Below are 27234 nucleotides of genomic sequence, written 5' to 3' on the forward strand. Positions count from 1 at the left end.
GGATTTCCAGACGAGTCTTTCCCAGGCCAACTTTTAAAGGTCGGAGGAAAGTTTCTCGTGGGGTGGGGGCCCAGAGGGGATGGCAGGGTGGGCTCCGACGCCTCCTCGCCTTTAAGCGGGTGGCCCCGGCTCTTCCTCCGTTACCTGGAGCGGGGAGGGGCTTGGGAAAGTTTGTGTTTGTTGCTGGCAAAGCGCCGGATGGGAGGCGCGGGCGGGCGCTGCGGTTCTTCCCTTCTGCTTTCGGGAAGCGGTCGGGGCTGCACACTCGGATCGGCGGGGCCGGCTCCCGGGCCCGGCCGGCTGGAGGAGGGAGGGAAGGAGGCGGGAGGGAGCGAGCGGAGCCAGGGGCGCACGTACGCCCCAGCGCTGGGATTTATCGGCTCGCGAGGAGAGCGGAGCAGGCGCGCGGCCCAGGCGGAGGAGCGCCGACTCTGGAGCAGCCGGAGCTGGAAGAGGAGGAGGAGGAGAGGCGGCGGGGAAGGAGGAGGAGGGGGAGAGTCGCTCCCGCCGGGCGAGCATGGGGCGCCTGGCCTCGAGGCCGCTGCTGCTGGCGCTCCTGTCGTTGGGTGAGTGTGCGCGGGGCTCAGCGGGGCACACGGGGACTGGCGAGGCCCTGGAGGGCTCGGCGGGGCGCGGCTGCAGCGCGCGGCCTGGGGCGCCGAGGGTGCCCGGGCTGCTCCCGGGAAACCCGGCCGGGGTGCGCGGGTTGTTCGGCCCGGCGGGGAGCGGCCGCGGGGCCGCCCGGAGCCTGGCGCGAATCCGCTCGGGCCCCGCGCGCGGGGTGCAAGTGGCCGCTCCGCCAGGCCGAGCCTCGCCCCCAACATGTGCCGGGGGGAGTGGCCCGGGGCCGTCTTTCCCCCAGGTCTCCCTACCTGTTGGCCGCCGGGAGCCCGGCTCACCTTGAACTCCCGGCCCGGAAGGTGCTGCGGTCCCGGCCCGGGTCCTCGGCTCGAGAGCGGAAATGTGAGCCTTTGATATGCCCCGCCATAGCCGCCGCCGGCCGGGTCGCTCTTCACCCAACCCGCGCGGAGTTGCCTTTCCAGGGAAGCGAGAGAATCCTCCAACTTCCTTCCACGAAGGTCACAGGGTGGCCCGGAGCGTTACAATGGAAATCGGCGGGCGAGTCCTGCCGTCATTTTCGTCGTGGCTAGATCTTCTGCCTCAGTCTTTTCTTTTAGCTTTTCTTGAAGCTGCCTAGCTGCGTATTTATACACAAAGACCTAAAAGCCTGGCTTCTCCAACTTTTTCTACCTGTTACTTTCCCTCCCTTACTATCCCCTCGTCTTCCACCCTCCGGAAACCCTGGGTGCCCCGTGAGGTTTTGGCCCAGCGCCCTCCCCCCACCCAAGGAATCTTTTGTGGGTTTTTTCCCTCTCCATTTTCCATTCACTCCATACACAGACACCATCTTCACGTAGATCCACATGGTGATCCTAGCCAGCCACGGAAATATGTTTATTAAGTGCCCACCATGGTACCCCAGGGCCGACTCTTAAATGTTTTGATATTCTTGGATCCTTGTTGTCAGTGTCAACCAGGACAAGATGATTCCTGTGACCTGGCCTGGGGTTCTCTTCCAAGCCCCTAGAGAAGGCGGCTCTGAGTCTTTCACAGAGCGCATGATGTGCGGTGTCCGTGCCATTCAGGTCCCAGCTGCACACAGGGCAAATGATTACTCTGCACTTATGGTCAGAGGGTTCCAGAGGAGGCCTTCTATAGCTACTCCCCTGCTGGGGACACCGGGGCCCACACTGCTGTAACCCCCATGACTCCTGCTGCTGATGAACCAGCCTTGCTGGCTGCTGTGTTTTCTTCCTTCACCTTGAAGGGATTTTCTGAACTGACTCCCTCAGAGAGCTCGTCCAGCCACATTGCTTCAGCTTCAGCCCATGTGCAGAAAGCTTCCAGATCTTCCACTTAGTTTTATGGCATCTTTTCTATAGTCCCTGATCCTAGTGCTTTATTTTTATTTTTGAAACAAAGCCTCAGTCTTTCACCCAGTCTGGAGTGCAATGGCACAACCACAGCTCACTGAAGCCTCAAACTCCTGGGCTCAAGTCATTCTCCCACCTCAGTCTCCTGAAGTGCTGGAATTACAGGCATGCTCCACCACACCCGGTGGTAGTGCTTTTAATCTTTACTTTTCACTCTGGGACCCTTGTAAGTTGTATGTTAGTGGCGCACTGCTGTTATAGTCCACACACATTAATTGACTTTATGTGTCTGGGTCAAGCAGGGCCATGGCCTAGGTTTGCACAGATGGTGCACTGTACAACTTCGGGAGCTGCTGTTCACTTTGTAGTCTGTGTGAATAACTCCCCCTAGAGCTGTGCAGTTCTCTGAACAACCTGGGTACCAGTTATGAGGGTGGGATGAGGTAGAACTTTGAAAACAATGCCCTTGAGTAATAATGAAGGGAGAAGAGGGGAGGGGGCAAAGAGAGACTGACAAAAACAAAATAGAAGTGGGGAAAGCACAGCTTGGGGAAATCTTGATTGTACTCCAGCATATCCTGTCCTGGCTGGATGCCTCCTATGAATTACACAGGGAATTTCTGTGGTGTCACCAGCCAGTACCTTTTCACCTAACAGTTCTCTGAACCATTGATGACCCTCCTGATAACTCTGCTGTCACAGAATCTCACTCGGTGTGGCTTCAGCCTGACCTCTGGGAAGGTCTCGCTGTGTTACACTGCTCTGGCACTGTACTGATCCCTGAAATGTAATATGTTGATAAACAAGATCATCTTTCCTCCTGGGGTGTAACCTGGGTATAATCGTGGTATCGCTGCTCTTTTTGACCTCCATATTCACGTAGTCTCTCAATTCTTGGCTCTCCCCGTACCACAGACTCCAGCTTCTTTCTTTCCTTCCTGTTTCTACGGCTACTGTCTTAGCCCAGGTCCTGATTGTTTCCCACACAGTTGGTGTCTTCCTGGTTGATTATTTCCTCCAGCCTCCCTTTTAAGCTCATCCTTTTCCTAAATGATCATTTTTGGGGCTCCCACCTGTTCTCACTGTGTCCTTATGAGTTTCCTCCAAGGAGATGTTGCCCCTTGTGTGTCCCTCCCCTCTGGTCTTCTCTGGCTCAGACACTTCGTTCCAACTAACCTGTTTGCTCTCCTTTATGTAGACTATATTAAACCTTCTGGCCCCTTCTACTTCTCACCTCTTGCCTGCGTATTAATATTTCCTTTTTCCCTTGAAACTCACTTTCTCCATGAAGCCTTCCTAAGCCTACCTACCATGATCACACCAGAACCCACCCAGCCACATAGAGCAGGTTTCACATCCATTGCCTATGTCTGACCTGTCTTGCCCATCCACTCAATGTGGCATTTCTTGAGTGGCCACTCTGTGTGCAACTGTGTGTTCAATACTGGGAGTCCCAGACAAATGACAAAGACACAGCATCTCCCTGAGCGGCTGGTGGGTGTGAGTAGACAGAGAATAAAATAGCTAACCACAGGACTGAATGAAATACCTGACATGGAAACCAAGTGTGGGAAACAAGGAAGGGGATGATTAATTTTGACTTGGGGGTTGGGGCTGGTTTTGCTGAAGAAGTGACATTTGAGTTGAGCCTTGAGGATAATTAGAATTTTGAAAGAAAGGATAGAAGAGCATTCTGGGCTCTGGGGAAAAGCCTAAAGTGTGGATGAGTGAAAGTACATGGCTCATTGAGAAATGGCACGTAAGTTCCCTGTAGCTGGAGCTGGGAGGAGGAGGAAATAATGGGGGTGCAATTATTTGGGGGAGGAGGAAATAATGGGGGAGGAAAGGTGGGTTTGGGATAGATCCTGTAGGTTTTGCATGCTGTGCTAAGGAGTCTGGACTGGGAGGGGTAGATTTGTTGGTGCTCTGGGTGCTGCCAGCCAGTCTGTGCCCTGTCATCAGAGCATATATTTCCTTCATTGTATGTAATTGTTCCCTACTCTGATTGTTTCCCCTGGGGGCAGGGGCCACGTTGATTTTGTTCACTACAATGTCCCTATTACGAATAGGATATATAACTCATACTGGTTGTTTGATACATATTGGCTGACTGAATACTTACATATGTCATTTTATCTGTGGGAATGGGTAGCCATTAAAAGTTTGTAGGGCGAGATTAACAGGACAGGGTAATGTGTTGAGGAGGATAAACCCTCAACTAGTGCAACATAAATTGGAGAGTAGAAGGCATGGAGATTGTAGGGTGGGATTAACACATTCTCTTTATGTCTTTATTTTTGCAAATCTATTGAGATACTTTTTTAAGTGTCAAAAGCATTACATCTGTATTTTAAAATTCAAATGATATAAAAGGACTTTGTATTAATCAGGTAGGCTAAACTGCTCTAACAAACTCAAAGCATAGTGGTTCAGACAATAGATGTGTCTTATATAACAATGCGAGGGAGATGCTTCAGAGGAAAGGGTTGGGTGGGAACCCTGCTTTACACAGTCATTCTGGCTCCCCAGCTGGTGGCAGTTCTGCTGTCTTCAACTCACAGTTTCTAAGATCACTTTGGTAGTCGTCATCACCATTCCAGCCCCTACAAAGGAGGAAAGAGCGTAGAGTAGAATATTTGGAGTCTTTGTGGGTCAGACTTGAAAGTGGCACACATCATTTCTGCACACGTTCTATTGGAGAGACTTTGGGCCCATGCCACACTAGCTGTAAGGAAAGCTGGGAAGCCATGTGCCAGCTACTATGGAAGAAGGGAAAGACAGATTTTGAGGGAACAGCTAACAGTCTCTGTGTTACTTACAAAGGATATAAGGTCAAAAGAAAAATCTGGGCTAAACAGGTCAGCTCATGCCTGCAATCCCAGCACTTTGGGAGGCCAAGGTGGGAGGATTGCTTGAGATCAGGAGATCGAGACCGGCCTGTGCAACATAGTGAGACCCCCATCTCTACTAAAAAATAAGAAAAGTTAGCCGGGTATGGTGGCATGTGCCTGTGGTTCCAGCTACTTGGGAGGCTGAGTGGGGAGGATCACTTGAGTCTGGGAGGTCAAGGCTGTAGGGGACCGTGATCGCACCACTGCACTCCAGCTTGGGTAACAAAGCGAGACCCTGTCTCAAAAAAAAAAAAGGAAAAAAATGTGTCCACCCTCCTGCCCAGGCACAGCCACTCCTGCCTAACGTGTGTGTGTCTCTGCATACTGAGTATTTTGTTTTTTTTTCCTCATAGCTTCTGTACAAGGCTCTGCACCTAATAGGCACAGACTAATAATAGCTACTATTTCTCGATTGCATATCAAGCGTCAGGCTCTGACGTACATTCTGGTATTTATTCCTCACAACAATACTTTGAGAAAGTCACTATTTTGTCTTTATTACAGATAAGGAAACTGATGCCCAGAAAAGTTAGTTAACTTGTCTAGAGACATACAGATTCTTCCTAGCAGACCTAGGATCTGATCTCAGGACTCCATTCTGTCTCTGCTAAGGAAAAGTTTACTAATGTTCGCTAAACCTTATGCTGCGTATTGCTTGAGATTAGCTTAGGTGAAGAAAGATGATAGTGGTTTGAAAGTGAAAGTGCATTTAAAAATAGGAGGATCCAGGGTTAGTGCAGCCCAGGTACACTTCCTGAAGGGAAGGGCAGTGCCAGCATGCACCTCAGAGGTGTGGCATCTCTGCAACCCTAGCAGGTGGCCATGCCGGCTCTGAGGACGGGCCGAAATGCAACTGCCTCTGGAAAGCACTGAAGGAGGAGGAAGGCCAGTGGGAGGAACCCTAGTGAATCCATCCAGCTTTAACAGTCTTTGAAGTGCTGTGGCCTTCAGAGATTCCTTGGCACTTATTTTAGCCTTGTTAACAGAATTCCTGTATCTGCCAAGCTGATTAATGCCTGCCCTGGCTATAATTATTCTTATTAGCCTGCTGAATAGGAACTCTAGTTGTCAGTGATCATTCCTTACAAGGCAGCAGGCTAGTCGGCATTTATGTGGCTGTTTTGTTTTAGCGATGAGCTGCTGAGCTGATTTTCCCCCCGTAGATTGAATGTACATTTTCATATTGGCACTGCGTCTGGCAGTTAAATAAGGTGTGTGCTTGTCTGTCGATGTGTGTCTGCGTCTCACTTTATCAAATGAAGTTGGAAGGATGCTGTCCAGGCAGTTCATAGCTGTTTTGTTTAATTGCATTGGTTTCTTAAAGGCAGGGTTGCAAGGGTCATTTGACTCTGCTTTGGGAAAATAACTTGAACTGGCAAAAATTCTTCATAATTTATCTTCTGGAAAAGGTGAAGTGCTGCAGTTGGCACAGTCAGTGGTTTTTTCGATCTTGGACTATTTCTCCCCACACCAACTGTAGTCTTTGGGAAGCAACAGAATTAGACCCAGAAGTTAACACTGTCGTGTCCCAGCAATATGCGTTTCCAGTAGGCTGGAGATCATGGCTCTGTGCATTCGCTTGTGTTCTTTGAAGGCTGATTTCTCCACAATACTCTGTATTGTGTCACTAAGCAGCATGATTCAAGTTTAAGTAAAATGTTCTGGGACCTTAATTGCATCCTGTTTCACACCTTTACAAGCAGCTGGAATGTGAAAATATTTACCTCACTTGGGATATTTCATAGGAGTGGAGAAGAACCCGTGGCTACTGTTGCTCTGTCTAGGATGAATTTGGCTTAGAATAGCGAAGAGTGGAATTGTGCCTAAGGGTTCCGGGCACATTTCAGAGTGGGTGCTACCTTGGAATCCTAATGAAATAGAGATAGTGGGCAGACAGATGAGTTACTTCTTGGAGCTTAAAAGTGACTCCAAGCCAAGAATATTCTGATAATGGCTCTTCCTTGCTCTTCTTTAGAGCTGGACTAGACAGAACTCCCCAGCTTATGGGCCTCAGTAAGGGACTCACATGGATTTCAGGTGGGTTGTCATGATACTGATACCCACAGGGCAGGAGCTGCCTCTAAATCCAAAGGCCTGCGTACCCAGAGAGCTGTACAGATACTGTCATTTCCTGTGTGTGCTATGATTTGACGAAGGATGGCAGTTCTCTCCTTCACTTGGTGAACTACAGCCCTTTAGCCCTAGCTTTGGAATGAGCTGTTTGAAGATGCAAGGTGAGAAGCTCAGTAACACGGCTAGCAGCTCATTTATTCAGCAAATATTGAGCAAGCGCCTACTATTACACGCCGGGCATTGTTCTGAGGATTGCTGTATGAGCAGAGCAGACTCAGATCTGCCCTCAAAGAGTTGGACAAAATGCACTAGATGTCAGAAAGTGGACGATTGAGATGAGGGTCAAGGGCAGGTTCTTGGAAATGCCTGCAGTGAGGAGACAGGAAATGAAAGGGAGAGTTCTAGGAGTAGTCAGGGAACGGAAGAAGTACTGGGAGAGCACGCTGTCGGAAGCCAAGCAGAGATGGGTGTGAGTGGACTTGTTAAAGAGGGATTGGTCACATGCTGCTACAGAACTGGAAGGATAAAGACAGAGAAGCCCTTGGATATGGGCACTGTGAAGTCTGCCCAGTGAAGGAGGAAGGGAAATCACAGAACTTGAGAAGTGGGTGGGGTGGGGAAGGAACTCTGAGTCAGAAACGATCGCCCACCTTTTCAAGTGGTGTGGAGCAGAAGACCACTGTGAGGGTAGTGGCTCAGGGCACGGCAGAACCAGATCAACTTAAACAGGATCCAGGCGTCTCTAAGCAGGCCCACAGGCCAGCTGGGAGACTCTGGTGGCAAAGGACAGGCTGAAGAGCAGTGAGCAGGCATGACTACTGGGTGTGGACTCCAGAGAAGGTGGCACAGGGGGGTTGGGGTGCAAATAGAAGCCCTAGCCTTGAAGAGCCAGAGAGGAGGGAAGGGAGAGGGAGAGGAGAGCATGGAGAGAGCAGTTTGATATGGCATGCAGTCTCTGCAGTGATCTCAGACTTTTCAGCCCTAAGAGTAGCCCCAAAGCTTCCCCAGACATGCTAGTTAGAGGTTTTCTATATGTTCCCTTGTTCCCTGTCTCTCTCTTTTTAGGACAGGGTCTCACGCTATCACCCTGGCTGGATTACAGTGGTGCAATCACGGCTCATTGCAGCATGAAACTCCTGGGCTCAAGCAGTCCTCCCACCTCAGCCTCCTGAGTAGCCAGGACTGCACAACCAGGCCTGGTTAATTTTTTATCTTTTTCCTAGAGGCAGGGTCTTGCTATGTTTCTCGGACTGGTCTCAAACTCCTGGCCTCAAGTGATCCTCCTGCCTCAGCCTCCCAAAATATCGTTAGCCACTGCGCCCGGCCTGTATGTTCCCTTTCTTTATCTGCACACATATAAAGTTTCCTCTGTGTCCCTCTGGATGTCTTCTTCTGTGTTGATTGGTGGAATTAACTTACTCTCTGATAGCTTTTAGGTCTTTGGCTGTTAGGCAGAATCTCTAGCACAGGGACTCTTGCATTTTATAATCCATCTTTCTCTTATTCACATTAGCTAAGAAGATTTTAATAGTTTGTATTACAAATAAACCATTACATGTGTGTTTTTAAAATCTACTTCTGTTCTTTATACCCTTCCAGCCTTACTTCATCTCCCAATTAAAAGAGGAAAAAATAGGATTCAGGCTTCAGAATCAGCCTTTCATTTGAATCCTGTCTTCCCTCAGTGTGAACCTTGGACAGGTTTTCTAACCTCTTTGAATCTCACTTTCTGTCTCTGTGAAATGGGAATAATACCTCTCTTGGAGGTTTTTCCATGAAGATTAAAAACAATATATTTAGAAGAATGCAAACATTAGTGTATGTAAGTTCCTAGAACTCTGCTACCCCAACTGTGTTCTGTGGACCACCAGCATTGGCAGCACCTGGGGGAATCTCAGGTCCAAACTTGTGAATCAAAGTTTGTATTTGAACAAGATCCGCAGGGGATTCAAATGCATGCTAAAGTTTAAGAAGCATGTCTGGAGGAGGTTTGGCATACAAATTACTTGGTAGTCTGGGCTTTCTCAGTGGGACTGAGGCAAAGCCATGGTCAGAGTCTGAGCTGGAGGAGAGTGGGCTGGGGCTGGACCCCACGGGAATGTGACAGTCATTCAGTTAGCAGTGAAGGATGGAGGATAGCATAGGTCTGTAGTAAAGGCAGTGGGCCTAGTTTCGTGGCTTTATCCCACCAAGTTTGGCAGCCTAGGAGGGACAGCATCATGTGGTCTCTCCATGGAATGAGAGTGGAAGGATGAGTGATAAAGGAACCGAGGGAACTGATGAGAACATCACAGGAAAGATTAGCCAAGGAGTACACGTGGGATAGGCAGGTGAGTGGGGCTTCCAGGCTTGATGCACCTGCAGAAGGTTTGAGGGCCTGGAGGGCATGATGATGGCATAAAAGCAGATTCTGAGGTGCAAGGGAATGGGTAGTCTAGGAAAGTAGGAGGTGAGGATCAAGAGAGGTAACTTCTGAGTTCAGGGTTTTGGCAGCAGAGATCTAAGGGGAGATAGGCTGGATGGCTAGTAGTGACATAAGCATTTATTCAGAGTTTCTGCCTCTTCCACCATTTTGGCTGGTTGAGCTAATATCTGACTGGGTTGGGCCTGAATGGATTAGGAGAGAGGGGTGTGACTTAGAAGCATTAGCCCTAGGCGTTGTGGGGAAAAGGCAGTAACCTATGACTAAGATGAATTGGGGGTTGGGGACCAGGTGCGATGCAAGAGAAACCAATATGAGGGTTCTTTCCTTCCCAATAAATTCCTGTCTACCTTTTTTGTAGCATTTATTTTGTGCCAGGCACTACGCTTTTCTTTTCTTTTCTTTTTTTTAAAGAGAGGGGGTCTCTGTCACCCAGGCTGGAGTGTAATGTTGCAGTCATAGCCCACTGCAGCCTCAACCTCCCTGGCTGAAGTGATCCTCCCACCTCAGCCTCCCCAGCAGCCGGAACCAGCTAATGCACTTTCCATAGATGAACTTATTTAGGAGGCTTCATAGCCCCATGAGAGTAGGCACTGTTGTTACCCCTGTTTAATAGATGAGCAAACTGAGTCACAGAGGTGAAGTCACTTGCTCAGGGTCACAGTGTAAGTGGCAGACTTGGGATTCAAACCCAGGTAGTCTGGCTCCAGAGTGTGGGTTCATAACCACAGTACACTAGTCTGTCTTTCCATGTTAGTCAAAATATATCTTTGAAAACACTGAAAGGAATTGATATAATTAGCTAAATTGTGATAACATTTGTTTCCTTGTCTTTCAAGACAGGAGGCTTGGATTTTGGCCCTTGTCCTTCTACTCACTAGTTTTGTGACCTTGGACAAGTTGCTGAACAGCTCTCAGCCCCTGTAAAATAAGGGTTGGGCTAGCTGATCCCAAAGGTCTCCCCTTCCATCTCCAGAATTCTTTGAGTTCATGCTGACCCCTGCTGTTGGCCATGTGGCCTCTTGGCCCAGCCCTGGCTTCCTGCCCATCTTCTGAGCACTCCTTATAATCCTGCAGCCTGTGCCTGTTGTCTCTCACCTGGCTGGTGCCTCTTCACAACAGTGGGTTGGTGCCTCTGAGGGCTCTGGAAATTGTTCGGTCCTTGTGTAGGCGACTGCTGCCTGATTGCAGCCCATTTCCTGCACACTAAGGATCTTTCCCTGTGGTTCTCTAGGGTACAGAAGTGTCCCCACCACCAGGCTAACTGGGCTTTCAGGCAGACCCCTGGGGGAAGTCACAGAAACAGTAAAACTAATAAGCCATTTCTAGATGACAGACTGTTTCGTATCATTACCAATTTTCTTTTATGTGTGCAAGTTTTGATTGAGGATATCAGCCATGAGTAAGCTGGGGCTGACTAATCAAGCCTCAGCCCTCACAAATGTGACTTGTGTCTTCTCCCTTCAGCCTAGGAAAGAGCCTGGAAGATGTTCCACAGGTTGCCCTTTTCCCAGTATGCCCCAGACCACAGTGAGAAGAGACACAGACATCTTGAGATGTGTATAAATATTGCTACTACTTTGGCTTTTACACCCTTCCTGAAGGGTAGAAGAGTTGAAATACTTTTGTTTTTTTGAAGCAGGGTCTTGCTCTGTTGCCCAGGCTGGAGTGCAGTGGGGCAATCTTGGCTCATTGCAACCACTGCCTCCCGGGTTCAAGCAATTCTCATGCCTCGGCCACCCAAGTAGCTGAAATTACAGGGATGTGCCACTACACCGGGCTAATTTTTGTATTTCTAGTAGAGACGGGGCTTCACCATGTTGGCTAGGCTGGTCTCGAACTCCTGGCCTCAAGTGATCCACCTGCCTCAGCCTCCCAAAGTGCTGGGATTACAGGTGTGAGCTACCATGTCTAGCCGAAGAGTTGAAATTCTGACATCTCCAACCAATAGACTCAGCTGGCTAAAAAATGTGCCCCTAGTATTTGGGGAATTTCTTCCTTTTCATTGCTTTGGTCTGAACAAGGAAGGTTCAAAATGATGCTGGATAAATACCACCTACTAAAAGGATACATTCTAGAAAGTCTATGTGTTATAGAAGAAACTTATGTGTATGAGCTCAGTCCTTACTGCATCTTGGCTGCTGTCTGGCCCTCCCTGGCTACTTTGAGGTGCTACTGTTGATGCTGCTGCTAAGCCTAGTGATTTCATCTCAGTGGTTTTGGATGCAGATATTTTTGAGGCTTATCCCTTTAGGATGTACTGAGAAGCGAATATTAGCTGATTTGGTGTCTGTCCAGTGTACACTACTTTGCTTATGTTGCAGCGAGGAGTTAAAAAACACACACATTTTTGGTACAACTATTCGTTTTCCCATTTTCTGAAAGCTGGCGCATTGAAACGTTTTCTTATTTATTAGAAGACATTACAGTCCATCATCTTTGATTGAGAAATCCTTACAGTAAGTTCCAAGTTAAGACCATAGTGTGTAACTCACGGCATGACACAGCACAGGGTACTGAGTCACATTAGTCAAAGTAAAAACAGTTATGACCCTTGAAGGAATAAATTATTTGTGTCCAACTTTACTTTTCAATACAGGACATTGCTACTTTGCTTTGTAATCTTTTTTTTTTTTTAGTACTTCCGCAGCATTAAGGGAATATTGACTCTGTTTCTGACATTGTGCAAGATTACAAAGTCCAAAATGGAATGGAACCAGTTATAAGTGAATGGCAGAATGGATCATAGGTGTTTTTTAAAGGCTTGGGTGAATGAGTTATTAGATCACTGTACATATGGGACTGTCACAATTATAGAGATGAAACTGAGGCCAGGGGCTGTTATTATTGAAAAGTTCCATGGAGCAGGTGGGGCTGGAGAGTCGGGAGCCAGGAGCAGGAGGAAATGCATTTCAGGTATGAAAGTGGGCAGTACGGTTTCTCAGAGGTGGGAGTAGATAAATGTGTACAGGTTGGTGTCCCATTTGGGGATTAGCTAACTTCAGCTGGAAAAGTAATAGAGACCTTAGGGGACGTGGATATTAAACTCTGGGGAAGGGAGGTTGGTGGAGAAGAATGTGAGCAAAGTCACCCTGAAAGATGTTGGCAGCATCACCAGCGCCCACAGAGCAGCTAAGAGCCGGCATGTGTGAGGCTGGAGAGGTCCGCTGGAGCTTACAGGAAGCCAGCCTGCTAAATTAAGGTGATAAGTCAGGCCATAATCCTATTTTTGGTTGTTTCTTATAAGAAAAACAACTCACAAAACAATTACTGATGTTCCCCCCAGATAGTTTATCAGAGCATTTCTTCAAAGGACTATGACCTGATAAGAGACACATAAGTTTTAGAGCAATGATGGGAATTTTAGTTGGTTTTCTATGGAAACAAGGTTTATGCAATCATGTGATCTATTCATCGGAGTCCTATTTTCATTACCATTTATCCCACAAACAAGTTTCAGCGGAAACAGTAGTATGAATCCCAGGAAGCCTAGTGTCATACGTGGCTCATAAATAATTGGGGAAGGTACCTTTGTTAGCCCATCTAGGGAGGGCCACAGAGGTAGCAAGGTGGCATATGCTGCCCAGTGGTACCCTCAGGGACCCCACATTCCAGCACCGAGTTAGCTCACACCACAGGCTGAAAGGTAGTTATCATGCAGCAGGATGTGACTTTGGGTCATTAGAAAACAGCAGTGATGAGGCAAGCTCTGCTTTCTGTCCAGTATGTTCATTTAAGGCATTTGGGCCTCAAGACAAAGAAGTGTGAAAACTGAGCACATAATCAAGTGTTGGTGACCCCTCTTGAGGTTTTCCCAAGTACCCCTCCCACCAGTCCTTAGAAACGACTGGAAGATAGATGCACACAACACCTTCTTTGGTTTATATATTTGTCTTGGAATTATTTCCAGTTATTTGATTCTTTGGATTTCAAGTAAAGCCTCATTTCCTCAGTGAAATGAGGACATGTTGGACCCAGGAGCGCTGCCGCCTACAGCATGGGCCAGCCTGCGTCAGCTCTTGGTGATGGGCTGTCACTCAGCCACCTTCCTTGAGAGCACAGCCATCGGTTTGTGATGATCTGTTTATTAGGATGAGCATTTGTGTGTCTCACCCAACCGTAAGCAGCTCGAAAGCAGGATCATGTCTGTTTTTGCTTACCCCAGCATGTAGGAACTTGAATCTTTGAATAATTGAATTAATGTATGTGCTTAGAAAAATGCCTATAAGGTGTGTATATTATATATATTTAAAATTGTGGACGTTAAGTTATAACAGGGGCAGAAGATATCTATGTGTCCTTTTTACTATCTTTCTTATGTGTGCTTATTTATCTTCTTTTGTTTGGAAAGAATTGCGTGTGACTTCATTTCTAAGACAGGTTTTTGTGGTAGAGTAGGAAAAAATGAAATCTATACATGTTAAAGAAGGGGTGAGAAAAGTCTCCATTCTTCTTCCTGTGGATTTTCTCGTTTTTTTCCTTGGCAGCTTGGGTGGAAGACAGATGACTCATGAGTTCTCATTATTGTTTCTCCACTGCCTCCACCCCTTCCCTTTGCAGGATTGATACAACCGTTTCCACCCCAGAATGGCATAGGCTCCCTTCTTGGGCTTCGTCCTGGTTGGTCATAGTCTAGAGAAGCAGACTTCTTCAGTCCCAGTGTATGCGTCGAGTGCCTCGTGGCTGGGTTCATTCAAACCATGGATCATCTGCTTGTCATCACTGTTCTAGGGAGCAGCCCACACTGAGCCACATCTGAGCAAAGGGGCAGTAGTACTGCCGCCTGTAGCGTGGGCCTGGTCTCACTGGGTAGTTAATAACCACTATTTATTATCTGCCCCATGTCGAGCATTATTCTGGATCTGGGGGCACCTAAAAACATAGATCGACACAGTCCTTTGACTCCTCCAGCAACCAGTCTAAATGTGGAGGATGACACACACACAGGAAGAGAGGTGGCATGGACGAAGTGTCATCCAAGGATTGTTAAACGAAAGGGGAAACAAACTGAACATTAAAGAAAAGGGAGAGCATTCTGGGAGTACTTTAGGCAGAGGTGTTTTTGCAGAAAAGGTAAGTATGATCCCCTGTACCTGTTTATATCACTACCTATGTCTCGTCTCTACCTGTGCATGTATTTTTTTTTTTTTTTTTTTTTTGAGACGGAGTCTCACTCTTTTGCCTAGACTGGAGTGCAGTGGCACAGTCTCGGCTCATTGCAACCTCCGCCTCCCAGGTTCAAGCAGTTCTCTGCCTCAGCCTGCCGAGTAGCTGGGATTACAGGCGCCTGCCACCACACCCGGCTAATTTTTGTATTTCTAGTAGAGATGGGGTTTCAGCATCTTGGCCAGGCTGGTCTTGAACTCCTGACCTCGTGATCTACCTGCCTCAGCCTCCCAAAGGGCTGGGATTACAGGCGTGAGCCACCACACCCAACCTGCATGTAGTTTTAAAGGCATTAGTGCCATGTCTGGATTGGGGACTTTTGTAAGGATCCAGAGCACCCAGATAGTTGGTTTTTACTAGCCCCAAAGAAGAGTGTAAGTAAAATTGATGAGGTGAGTTTTGGGGTTTAGAATCCTGAGATTGTGTCACTTCCCAAGGTGCTGAGAACTGGTCCCTTGATTGACGCTGTGTGTCACAGTTGCCCCAGCCACATGCTCTGCGCTTTCTGTATTGAGCCTGGTGAAGGGCTATTTTTGAAAATTCACTGATGAAGGGCTGTTTCTGAAATTAATGAGATTATGTACTTTTTGTTAAGCCCCTGGATGACGATCCAAAGATCAATTCTGGCCCTAACATTCCAGAAGCTCATTGAGATAGGAGTGATCACAGTCACTGCATCAGCAGGCATGCTGCTGGGCTGGGGGTGTGGTGATGAGCAGTCCCTCCAGAGTCTCACAGGGAGGCTGACAGGCAGTTGGCTCCAGGTGATCGTGGTGGCAAGCAGACCCGCAGTGGGCACCTTCTAAACTCTGCCTGAGCTGGGGGCTGAGGTGGGGAAGGATCAGGAAAGCCTTCAGCAAGCTGGACTCATTTGAACTCATTAAGTCTTGATGATGAGTAGGTTTTTGTCTGGCAGAGAAGGGGTGGGTAGTTTACTTTAGGCAGAGGGAAGAGCACAGAGAAAGCGATAAACCAGCTGTCGCAGTGGCTTACACCTGTAATCCCAGCACTTTGGGAGGCTGAGGCGGGCGGATCGCTTGAGGCCAGAAGTTCGAGACCACCCTGGCCAACATGGTGAAACCCTGTCTTCGTTAAAAATACAAAAATTAGCTGGGCATGGTGGCACATACATTTACTCCTAGCTACTCGGAGGTTGAGGCATGAGAATTGCTTGAACCCAGGAGGCAGAGGTTGCAGTGAGCTGAGATTGTGCCACTGCACTCCAGCCTGGGCGACAGAGAGAGACTCCCTCTCAAAAAAAAGAAAAAAAAAAGATAAAACCATTCATAGGAGGATATTGGTTTTTAATAAATGAGGAAGACTTTTTGCAGCTAGTGTGGAGGGTTGAGTTGTAGGGTCATTTAGAGGGAAAGGATTGAGACTGGAGAGAAAGTCCTGAGTGTAAAGAGCCTGTGTGTCACCTGAAGGAGCTTAAGTCTAACATCATAGATGAATTTGTCTGTTTTTTCCTGATTCTGCCTTCCCTAAAAAGCTGGAGGTCCCTCCTTTCCTTTATTTACTTGATGTTTTAAAAGGTCCTCATCTTATTGGGGACTCATCTCCTTCCAACTTTTCTATAAGTCAACATACTGTTTCATCTTTATCGACTCTGACGCTTGGCCAGGTGTTAGCTCATCAACTTTCCGTGATGATGTGGTTCTGCACACAGTAGGCGTGCAGCAAAAAAATACTGAATGAAGGAATGAAGTATCAGACTGTAGTTAAAGTGTTCCTTAAAGGGCATGTGAACCCAGAGTCTTTTTTAATTTAATTCCCTGCAAGCCAAACTGTTAAACAACACTGTACTCCTTACTGAGCCTCATCAGGGAAGCTCGGCATAGACCCCTCATCACCCATGGCTTCTAGCACTGTGTCTACAAATGAGAAGGGCAGGCTTAAAGTGTTGTTGGGGAGGAGGGGTGGATGAGGCAAAGGAGGAGCAGACAGTGGATCTAGGGAACAGTCAAATAACGGGAGAGAGGACAGAGCTGCCCAAGGAAGGGAGTCGGGTTGGTGGGGAGTTTCCCCAATTATCTCAGGTGCCTTTTATGCTCATATGCAAGTTTAAACACAATATGAATCTCCCATTCTCTTAAACTAGAGGCTAAAAAGAGGACCAGGTGTTCACACAGAACTTGGCAGATGATGTTGGCCAGTTTGAACGTGGAGAGGATTGAAAATGGCTGAGCAGGGAGGGATGCTGAGCGGTGCTTGGGCCTCTAGCAGCTGCTAATTTTATAGAATGCGCTAAAATAAACCTTGTGGATAGATCTTGCCTCAGCCTTTTCTATCTCTGGTCCTTGGACAGAGAATTGTTTAAGTCATTTCATGTTTATTGAGTTATTTTGGTTAATCATCAGTACAGATTGCCTCTAAGTGGTTTTTGCATCTTTTTTTTATTATCGCTTGGTCACATAACTTCTCGGAACCTCAGTTTCCTTATTTAATACTCTCAAGGTTGAATATTAAATCATATGAACAGGATTTGCAAACTATAAAGCAATGCTATGCATGTAAGGTGTCTTTTTTTTGCCAGTTACTGAGTCTTTAAGGGCAAATTGTCTACTCAATACTTGGTTTACTGTGTTAGGATTCCATTAGGGAAGCAGAACCCTTATAAATATTGTGGAATAACACATGTATTAGAGGAATTAGACCTTACACAATTATGGAAGGAGTTGGAGAAGTGAAGGCCTAAAAAGGAGAGTTAAAGTATCAAGGAAAAGTCACTAGTCAGCTGTCTTGAAGCACTGGCAGGTGGACAAGTTGAAGCGTGAAGAGGAATCTGGAAACCAGGCAGAGTGGGCTGGTTTAGGGTTCTGAAGAAGGGTAATCACTTAGCCCCGAGATTGCAGCCAAGCATCTAGTGGTCTTGGGGTCATGTTGGTCCATAAGAATAGCATTTGGGAAGAAAACAGAAGCAGAAAGAGCAAGGACAAACGGGTGTCTACTAGCACCTTCACATCTGTCCCACACTGCCTTTAACCACGAGCCATATACCAAAGTAATGGCTGCCGCTTGACTTCCATCTCCCAAATCTGACATGAAGTTCTATTTTGTCCAACCCTAACCTGGAACTACACAGATAAGAGGATTCTGGGATATGTAGTTCCAGCTTAGCCAGGTGACAAAACCTCACAATTTCATAATGTAGAATTAAAGGTTTGACATGGTTCTGGCCTCCCAGGATCTCTCAAAGGCCACAAAACTGGAAGCAATGTCATAGTTATATGATCTAGTGCTTTACTAGTAAGAAGGAATTCAGTTAGTTAATGATCCAGTCTTGAAGAAGTACCGTGCATTTTTGTTCCTCACTTGTTGGTGGCACTGTATGTCTTTCTGCCTTGCTTACCTTTTTTTTTTTTTTTTTTTGATACAGGGTCTCGACCTGTTCCCTGTTGCCCAGGCTGGAGTGCAGTGGTGCAATCATGACTCACTGCAACCTTTGCTTCCCAGGCTCAAGCCATCTTCCTGCCTCAGCCTCCCAAATAGCTAGGACCATAGGCACATGCCACCATGCCCAGCTAATTAAATTTTTTTTTTTTTTATAGAGACGAGATCTATGTTGCCCAGGCTGGTCTTGCACTATTGGCTTCAAGCCATCTTCCCACTTCAGCCTTCCAAAGTGCTGGGATTACAGGTGTGATGCAGGAGGTAATGGTTGTCTTGGCAGCAAAAACTAAGAAAAGTTGCATTGACTTTGAAGAGCCTGTCAGTACTGATGAAATGCAAAGTCTTTGTCGCCTCCTTTCTAATCTTGTTTGATTTGGAGAACATGCGTATGAAGGCTGAAAGAAGATTTCCAGATATAAATGGCAGGATAGATAACATTAGAGCCAGAACTGCCATGTAAATGTCAATTAGAAACAAGATTTAAGTCTCTGGACCACCCTTCTTACCCCCTGTGGCCTGTTGGTCACACTGCCCCTTCCTCGTGTTTCTGTAGCCAGGCACAGGCTAACGAGGACTCAGAGAGTGCCTGCTATGATAATTTTAGCCCCTGGAAAAAATAACAGACTTTGTGAGATTTAATGGCCACACCTGGGCCTTGTCATCACTTAGTATTCTTTCACCTTTTTGATTGTCAATTCTGATATTTCCCTCTGTGACCACAACCTCCTTGCTTTACTCCTTTCAGATTCCCTCCTATCTGTTGAACCTATTCTTCATCCTAATTGTGATTCCCTGATTTTGAACATTCTTCCTTTTCAGTCCATCAGGCCATTCTCACTTTACTTGGCTCTGAATCCAGGGTAGACTCTGGTGGTCAGCATTTCAGCAGTGAGCTTGTTAACAACCTGGGACCCTCTGTCATATTTCTTTGCCAGACCTCACATTGTATTACATTTCAGTAATTCACACCAATCGTAGTTTGTAAGCCTGAACTTTATTATCTTGCTGGGGAAAATCTCAAAGTCTGCCCATCTGAGATTCCAGCAAAGTCCTGGCATCTTTACCGCAGCTCAGCTCTCCTTTGTGTTCCTTTTGTGATGGTTTCCTATTATATTTCTTCTGATGCTTATTCTAAACCTTTGTCAGGATCTTTAGCATCTGAACTCCTTTCTACTATTTTACTGAGACAATAGAGACCAAAGAAACCTCAAGCTTTTGCCTCAAAACTTTTTAATATTTTTACTCCTTTTCTCTGTCTAACCTGAAAAAAAGTAAGGGCTCTATCTTTGGCTCTTTTTCCTCTCTATGTGTATTCTTTCCCCAAGTGACCCCAGGCAACCTGTGGCTTTAAATACTCTGTGTGTGCTGATGACTCTCTAGTGAGTATCTCCAGCTTGGACCTCCCCACTGAGCTCCAGACTTAAACATCCAGCTGCCTACTCCACTGCACTTCCACTTGGTGTCTGATAGGGACCTCACATTTAAAATGACCAGAAGACAACTCTTGCTTTCCTTGGTACAGATTTGCTTCCCTCTAATTACTTTGCTGTCTCAGTAAGTGGCATCACCCTGTATGCCAGATGCTCAAGCCAGAAGCCTAGATCATTCTTGATTGCTCTCTTCTTCATTCCCCACATTCAAAAAGTCAGTTTGTCTTTTCATTCATACACAAGTTAAGTCCTGAATCTGACTACTCCTGAGAGTCACCACCACTGTCAACCAAGGCCGGTGTTCATCAGCTTTTGCTTGGTCTACAGAAACTTCCCCCATGCTGGTGTCCTTGCTTCCAAATTGGCCCCATATAATCTGTCTTTCCCACAGCAGTCAGACTGAAATTTCTACAAAGAAAGTAGGCTCTATCGTTTTCTCGTTGATGTGCTTCCCATTTCAACCAGAATCCAGGGCCCCTGCCCCCTCATTCATTGTGATCAGTCACAGTGATCTTTTTTTTCTGTACTTTAAACACCCAAGCTTGCTCCATCACAGTGCTTTTATATTTGCTGTTCTGTGTCTGGAGCAGTTTTGCCCCAGAGCTTCAATCACTGTCTCTTCGTCATTCTGGTCTAAACTCAGACATGACCCTCTCAGAGAGGCCTTTCCTGACCACACTTCATATTGTCATATTTTAACTGAATAGCATTTGTCAGTGGGTCTACTTCATCACTGTCTCTTTCCTAGAACACAGTTTTCTTGCAGGCAGGGACTGGTGGCCATGTGTCCCCAGTGCCTAGAAGGTGCTTTGGGGGACTGACTGGCTGACTTTGCAGGATGAACCCCCTGCTTGCTGCTTCAGTGCCTTTTTCATGGTTGTGCCTTCTCTTCCCTACATCTTTGTTCCTTCTCTCCTGGCTCTTACTTTCCAGATCCCATACCCGTCATTGAAAATGCGCTTTCCTGGAGGTTGCCAGTGATTACTTAGCCATCAGTTCATTTCTCTTTTCTCAGCACCCACCTTCCTTGACTTTTCTGCATGTTTGACATTGTTGTTCATTTTTTTCAAACAAAGGCATATAGTAGGAGTCTGCTTTAGATATTGTGCAGGATGCAGATATGGGTAGGAAACAGCTCCTGCTTTAAAGGAGCTTGCAGTCTGCCAGGAGCAAGTAGATGAGTAATGTTCATAAAGAAACAGTAAGTGTTACTTCAAACCCTTTCTTGAAATTCTTGCATCCCTTGGCTGCTAGGGCATAAGCCTTTCCTGGTTTTCTTCCTAACTGGTTACTATTTCTTTTTTCTGTGCTGACTCTTTTTCTTCTGCTCATGCCTTAAACATAGGACTTTGCTGTGGTTTTGTCCCATTCCCTCTTTTCTATACAGTAATCTGTCTCCCGATGGTGTCATCGACTCCCACGTCTTCACTGCTGGGCAGATTTCCTTTTTACCCCCCACTCCCTCCGTGCATGTGACTCCACATTGATGTTAGGCTCAAATATCTTCTAGGGGTTTCCATTCCAACTGTCCGGTGGACATTTCTACTGGTCAAAATCTTACTATAAGAAAATAGATTTCACCAGTGATTAGCTTCCCTTTGGCTTCTGTCTCCCCTCACAGGTCTACCAGTTGACCCTTCCTCTGTTGTGGCTCTCAGAGCTGCTGCCTTTTGATTCCTGTCATTGCCCTTGTTTTCATTATTATTACCTCTCCCCACCATTGATAGAGGGTCCCTGAATGATCTCTGGGCCTCCATGTCTCCTCTCCAGTCTGCTCTTGATACACTGTTTTAGTCACCCTGTCTTCACCACTACCTGCCTGTGTCCCCCGTGGCCCCTTTAGGTCTTTGCTTATGCTACACCCCTTATCTCTGGTCACTTTCCTCCTTCATGTCTTCTGTTAAACCTCCCCCTCATCCAACCATTTTTCAAAGGCCAAATTCGAATATTGACACTGCATGAAGCTTTTTATGAATCCCTTTGGATGGAAATGTCCTCATTCTCTTTTGACCCCTGAGGCACCTGTTAGTGCATCTCTTTGATTATTTATATCCTTCCTTATACAGGTTGAGCATCCTTAATTCAAAAATCCAAAATTGGAAATGCTCCAGAATCTGAAACTTTTTGAGCACTGATACGTTGCTCAGAGGTCATGCTCGGAGGAAATGCTCGTTGGAGCACTTTGGATTTTGGATTTTCAGATTGGGAATCCTTAACTGGTAGGAATGCAAATATTTGAAAATCTGAAATCCCAAACACTTCTGGTCCCAAACGTTTTGAATAAAGGATATACAGCCTGTATGACAGTTTGCACTGTTCCACACCTCCTGACTCTTAGCATACCATACGTGCCTTAAAAGAAGATCCACAAGCTGACTAACCTTTCACTCTCACTTATCACCTAGCACAGGGACTTTTTGCTCAGTAGCTGTGTGTTGAATGAGTTATCTTATCTTACATTTGTCTAGTGTATCTCAGTGAGGTCTTAGCTGAACTTTTTCTTTTTTTTTTTTTTTAATGATTATAAGCACTGTTCTAGTAGAACCTTATTTGCTTCTGGATGGGGTTTTGAAGTTCTGCCATATGTGACTTCATTACACATTCTCTGCTGTCTATAGCTTGTTTAATGTGCCTTGCTGCATTTTCATGACTTAGGGACTGTCTAGATGAAAGTTGGCATGATCCTTTCCTGTCAGACCTCTCAGTGGCAGACTTGAGGAGACAAAGGTTTTTCATTTGTTGAGTCAGGTACTCCAATAAAGGCACTATAAGGTTTTATAAGTTTGACTTTCTGTGCATTCATTTCTAGCTCATATGTGGACTGGGAACTCCATGTGGCAATCCATAGGCCCCGAGTCTCTCCTAAAAGCCTTGTAAGGACTCGGGAAGTGGGAATTAGGCACCCATTTACAAGGCATGCTGAAAACCATAACCTCTTTAGTTTCAGCATTTCAACTCACCTGTACCACTGGATTCAATAACTGCTGATACTTATCTTACAAATGGTTCAGATTGGAAAGTCAGATTGTTTGCTTCTAGGCAGCTCAGTGAAATAATAAAATTTGAGCAGAAATAGAAACAATTGCAAGAATTTTTAGCAAATATGCTATACTCTGCAGGTCTTGATTTAGAATAATGTTGATGATAACCTGAGAAATAAAATCCATTTCCCATGGATATCAGAAGGAGGTGGAAAAGCATAGATAAATGAAGTGTAGTCTTCATTGCCTTGTCTTTCTTAATGATTCCTCATGGTTGGCAATAGCACTTATTTAAATAAACATTGCAGGAGTAGTTGTTTACTTTGAAGAACTTGCCTTTTTCTACCTGTCCCCATCGATTCCACCTGATAGAAGAAAGTCGAAGGCATTTAATTACTTTCTTGAGTATTCCAGAGGTAGGGAAATGGTAATCGGGAAACAATTAACTCTTGGTTGTTAATTTTCTACTGCTGAGAAGTCAGAGCAGAGGACTTCTAAAAGTCCCTCCTGTATGATTTTGGAATAAAGTTCTCTGCACCATTTTTGAGTATAAATATGCGTGGTGTTAAAGTTGGTATCACTTAAAATAACAAAGGTAGTACATCAGAAAAATTTTTGAAGAAATTTTTAACAATCCAGTTTCTTCTATTCTCTCATCTGTCTACTTCACATTGAAAATATATAATATTTCTTCTTTCAGTGACTCATTTCTGTGTTACTTTGCTGCCTATCTTGGTTCCATTGCCCATGGAGAATATGAAATATAGGGAATTTTAAGCTGTTTCTTTTTCCTACTCAGATTAAAGACAAAAAATCAACAGAGGATGATAATATATAATGCAATTGAAGGCAAACGAAATCCGACCTATCTTTGGCTTATGCTGCACTATCAAGTTTGGGTTTGAGTCCCTCACGTTATAGCTGTTATGACCTTCAGGAGGTTATTCAACTTCTTTGATTCTCAATTTCCTCATATCTGTGATAGGGGTGGTAATAGCTACCTTATGGTTGTCTTCTGTGGATTAAGACAATTTGTGGATAGTGCCTGGCTCAGTCAGTCAGTGCATGCCATGTAAGAAACACTGTACATTATTATTCTTCCTCTTACTCGATTCTAATATTGTTGTGGAGAGAGACTGGGAGACTTGATAGTAAATCAAACTGAATACATCATGAAATAAATACTATGAGAAATGCTTATATGATTTTAGCTGAAATTATGGGGTCTTTGATTAATCAAGTATTTTTTATTCTACCCTCCCCCTCCCCCACCAATTAGCTTGTTATTCAGTCTTTCATTTTTGTGGTTACTCTAGAGATTAGAACACGTATCAGTGATCTGTTAGTGTTTACTAGTGATCCTTTTACCACTTCCAGGATAATGAAAGACCTTACAACATTTAAGCTCCAATGTATTCCACCCCTCCCCTCACTTTTTCTGCTATTGATGTCATATGTTTTAATTATGTATATATTTTGAATTCCAGAAGACATTACTAATATTGTATTTATAGTCAATATTCAGTAGGTTTACCCACATAGTTATTCTTTCTGTTGCTCACTTTGCCTTCTCACATTTCCATGATTTCAACTGGGATTATGTTCCCTCTATTTGAAGAACCCCCTTTAGTACTTATTTTTGGTGCAATTAATTCTTTTTCCCTTGTTGAGAATTGGTTGAAAGCATGTTTATGTTGCCTTCCTATTTGAGGATTTTTTTTCTCTGTATAGAATCCTAGGTTGGTGGTTACTTCCTTTCATCACTTTAAAGATGTCATTCTGTGGTCTTCTCATGAGCATCATTTCCGTTGAAAGTTAGCCATCAGTTGTATTCCTGTTCCTTTCTCTGCCTTTCAGTAGTTTTGCTATGATTTACCTAGGTGTGGTTTTATTTGTATTTATTCTGTTTATGATACATATCTTATCTTGCATCTGTGGCATGATGTCTTTTGTTGGTTTAAGAAAAATCTTAGCCATTATCTCTTCAAAAATTATGCCTAATTCTACTACAGTCTCTCCCTGTCCTTCTGGGCCTCTGTGACACATATGTTTGGCCTTTTTACTGTGTCTCATAGATTCTTGTCTGGCTTTTTTAGTTCTTTTTTATACCCTGGGCTTCAGTTTGGATAACTTTTACTGACTTTTGTTTTATTTTGTTTTGTTTTTGTGATTGTTTTGTTTTTTTTTGAGACAGGGTCTTACTGTGTTGCCCAGGCAGGAGTACAGTGGCACAGTCATGGCTCACTGCAGCCTCCATCTCCTGGGCTCAAGCAGTCCTTCCACCTCAGCCTCCTGAGTAGCTGGAACTACAGATGTGTGCCACCATGCCTGGCTAATTTTTTCTGTTGTTGTTAGAGACAGGGTCTCACTATGTTGCCCAGGCTGATCTTGAACCCCTGGGCTCAAGCAGTCCTCCTGTCTCAGCCTCCCAGTGTGCTGGGATTATAGGCGAGAACCACTGTGCCTGGCTGCTGACTTCTTCTGTGCTGCATCTAATCTGCTGCCAAACCTATTTATTGACCTCTTAATTTCGGATATTGTATTTTTTTTTTTAGTTCTAAAATTTCAATTTGATTGTTTCAATATATTTCAGTTTGGGTGAAATCCTGTTTTCTATTTCTTTAGTAAATTAATTATAGTTAGTTTACAATCTGTGTCTGATAAAACCAATATCTGGATCCCTGGAGGTCTGTTTCTATTGTCTTATTTTTTCTCTTTTGTTTTTGTTTATTTGGTTCTGTCATCTGGAATACCTGGTAAGTTTTAATTGAACACTGAAAAATTGTAGTGGCTTTGTATGATGTCATCTTCTATCTGAGAAGATTTACTTTTTTCCTAACAGGCCAGTAGAGTAAGAGAAGCTCATCTTTATCCAATGAGGAATTGAGATGCTTTGAGACTGTCTTTTAGTCTTGATGAGAGCTAGTTGCTTTTTCCGCTTTGCTCTTATTCCAAGAGCATAGCCCTTCCAGGATTGTAACTGAGAATCTGAGTGTTTACCACCTTCCTTTGTGGACTCAGAATTCTAGTTTTTGTTTCCCCGTATTGTGAAATGGTCAAAAATTTTACTTAACCTTTAGCCCCCTAGTGTTTATTTTCTGCTTAGCTTCTCAGCCACTTACCACCTCCCCATACCCTTCAATGTATCTTTCATGTCAGTTACCTTGAGGGGAAAACAATGTAGTATGTCAAGCTCACTTCTCTGCTGTTGCCTTTTTTTCGTAGGATCTTGCTCCTCAAACTCTGACCTTCTTAGTATCCTTGAACTTCAGTTGTCTTCTTGGCCCCACAAGGTGCTGGAAGCTCTGAGTTACTTACTTCTACTTGCTTTCTAGCCTGCACCACTTAAAAATAGCAAATATCTGAAGAGAAAAGGCAGTGGGTATTGTTGAGTCCACTTCAGTATCTTTCTGTGATCTTGGACCCTTGAGCCTGGCTGCCTTGATTGCTCACCACTGCATTCAGTTAGCTTTTATCTATCTTTTATGGTTTCTGTAGTGGGAGTGAGGGTGGGGGCAGGGGGTGGGGAGTGATCTGATATTAGCTACTCTATGATAGCAAAAAGCAAAAATCTAAAAGTAGAAATCTCAATTATTGGTCTTTTGAAATTTAAACTCTGCTTACCACCCCCAAATATTTGAGTCAACTTCCAATGAAATACACATACATATACGTAAACACTGCATGAAGGTGATAGTTAAAGTGCCCTTATTTTGTCTTGGGTATCAAAGGTACTCTGAGGCTGTGGTAACTGCCCCGAGAGGTAAGAGAAACCTGTGTAGTTCCTGTTTTTTTGAAAGAATGTACAATGGTCCATCAACAGGTATTTTTTTTTCTGGTATTAAATTTTAATGGAATTTTATTATGTGAATTTTTGTGTCATTGAACAACCCAGTAGTGTCCTCAATAGGACTTTTAAGGCTGATAAATGTTTTTCGTATGAAGGTTTCTTATATTGACTCCTGAAAACAAATGAAGCCATAATTCAAGATTGTTACTTAGTAGCGGCATTTTTATGGGGAACTAAACTAATACAGTTCAGGTAAAGAAGTGTTTGGGACCTTCAGTTTGAAACACTGGTAGAACTTGGAAAAATAGAGGAAAACTTTCTTTTCCTCTTTTTCCCTCAGTTATCAACTGTTACAAAAGGTTTTGACAAAAATTGGCAACATGTGGCTATGTAGATATTCTTTTTGATTTGAAAAGAGCCATATGCTCTATTTTTTCCAAGTTATATTTATTTTTAAATATCATTAGCTGTTATTTAACAATATTACAAGAAATCTGTGCTAAATACCAGATTGCTTGGTGGCAATTTGAAATTCTGTTACCAAAATTTAAGATCTTGATTTGCATGGATGAGGGGACATCCTAGTTCTGCATGCAAGACAGTGCTCAGGTTTATATCTTTTCGGATTAGAATTTGATCTTTCAAGCATCTGTTCATATCTGCTTTACTTTTCCCAGTGGAGCTATCATATAGCCAATGTTGAAGGTACTTTTGCAGGTTGAGTTGGAACATGAAGGAAGGAGTACCTAAGTGATCCTAGGGGAGTTGGGGAAGGCTTCACAGAGGAGGTGGTGCTGCAGCTGCTTCTTACAAGAGGGTGAAGAGATGGATGAGAGGGTATTCCAGGTGATGGAGGCATGAAAGCAGAGGCCATGAAGCACCAGAGAGTATGGCATTTCCAGAAAGTGAAGAGATGTTTGTTTTGTGGGATAGAAGCATCAGAGAGTGGGAGAACAGTTGGAGATGAAGCTAAAGTGGTATCCATGAGCCAGATCATGAGTGGTCTTGTATGTCTTTTATTCATTCATTCATTCATTTAACAAATATTTATTGAACAACTACTATTTTACCAGGTCCTGTTCTAGGCACTGTCATTCAGCAATGGACAAAACAAAAATCACTACTCATATGGAACTTACATTCTACTGGGGAAA

The 27234-nt window shown here is 44.9% G+C and overlaps 1 protein-coding gene across 2 annotated transcripts in view; it reads left to right on the plus strand.

The window, feature by feature from the left end:
* Nucleotides 1-229: 229 nt before the first annotated feature.
* PTGFRN (prostaglandin F2 receptor inhibitor) overlaps nt 230-27234 on the plus strand; it is an 80438-nt gene continuing 53433 nt past the window's right edge. The window contains exon 1 of one of the 2 annotated variants that reach the window (NM_020440.4): nt 230-566. In NM_020440.4, the coding sequence (NP_065173.2) occupies nt 518-566 (49 nt within the window). In that variant the 5' untranslated portion in view covers nt 230-517. Of the gene's footprint in view, nt 567-21380; nt 21529-27234 lie in introns of those variants that run through there. The other variant, XM_017001874.2, reaches the window with a different exon arrangement.

This window comes from Homo sapiens, chromosome 1 (genome assembly GCF_000001405.40).
Source record: "Homo sapiens chromosome 1, GRCh38.p14 Primary Assembly".
Lineage (NCBI taxonomy): Eukaryota > Metazoa > Chordata > Mammalia > Primates > Hominidae > Homo > Homo sapiens.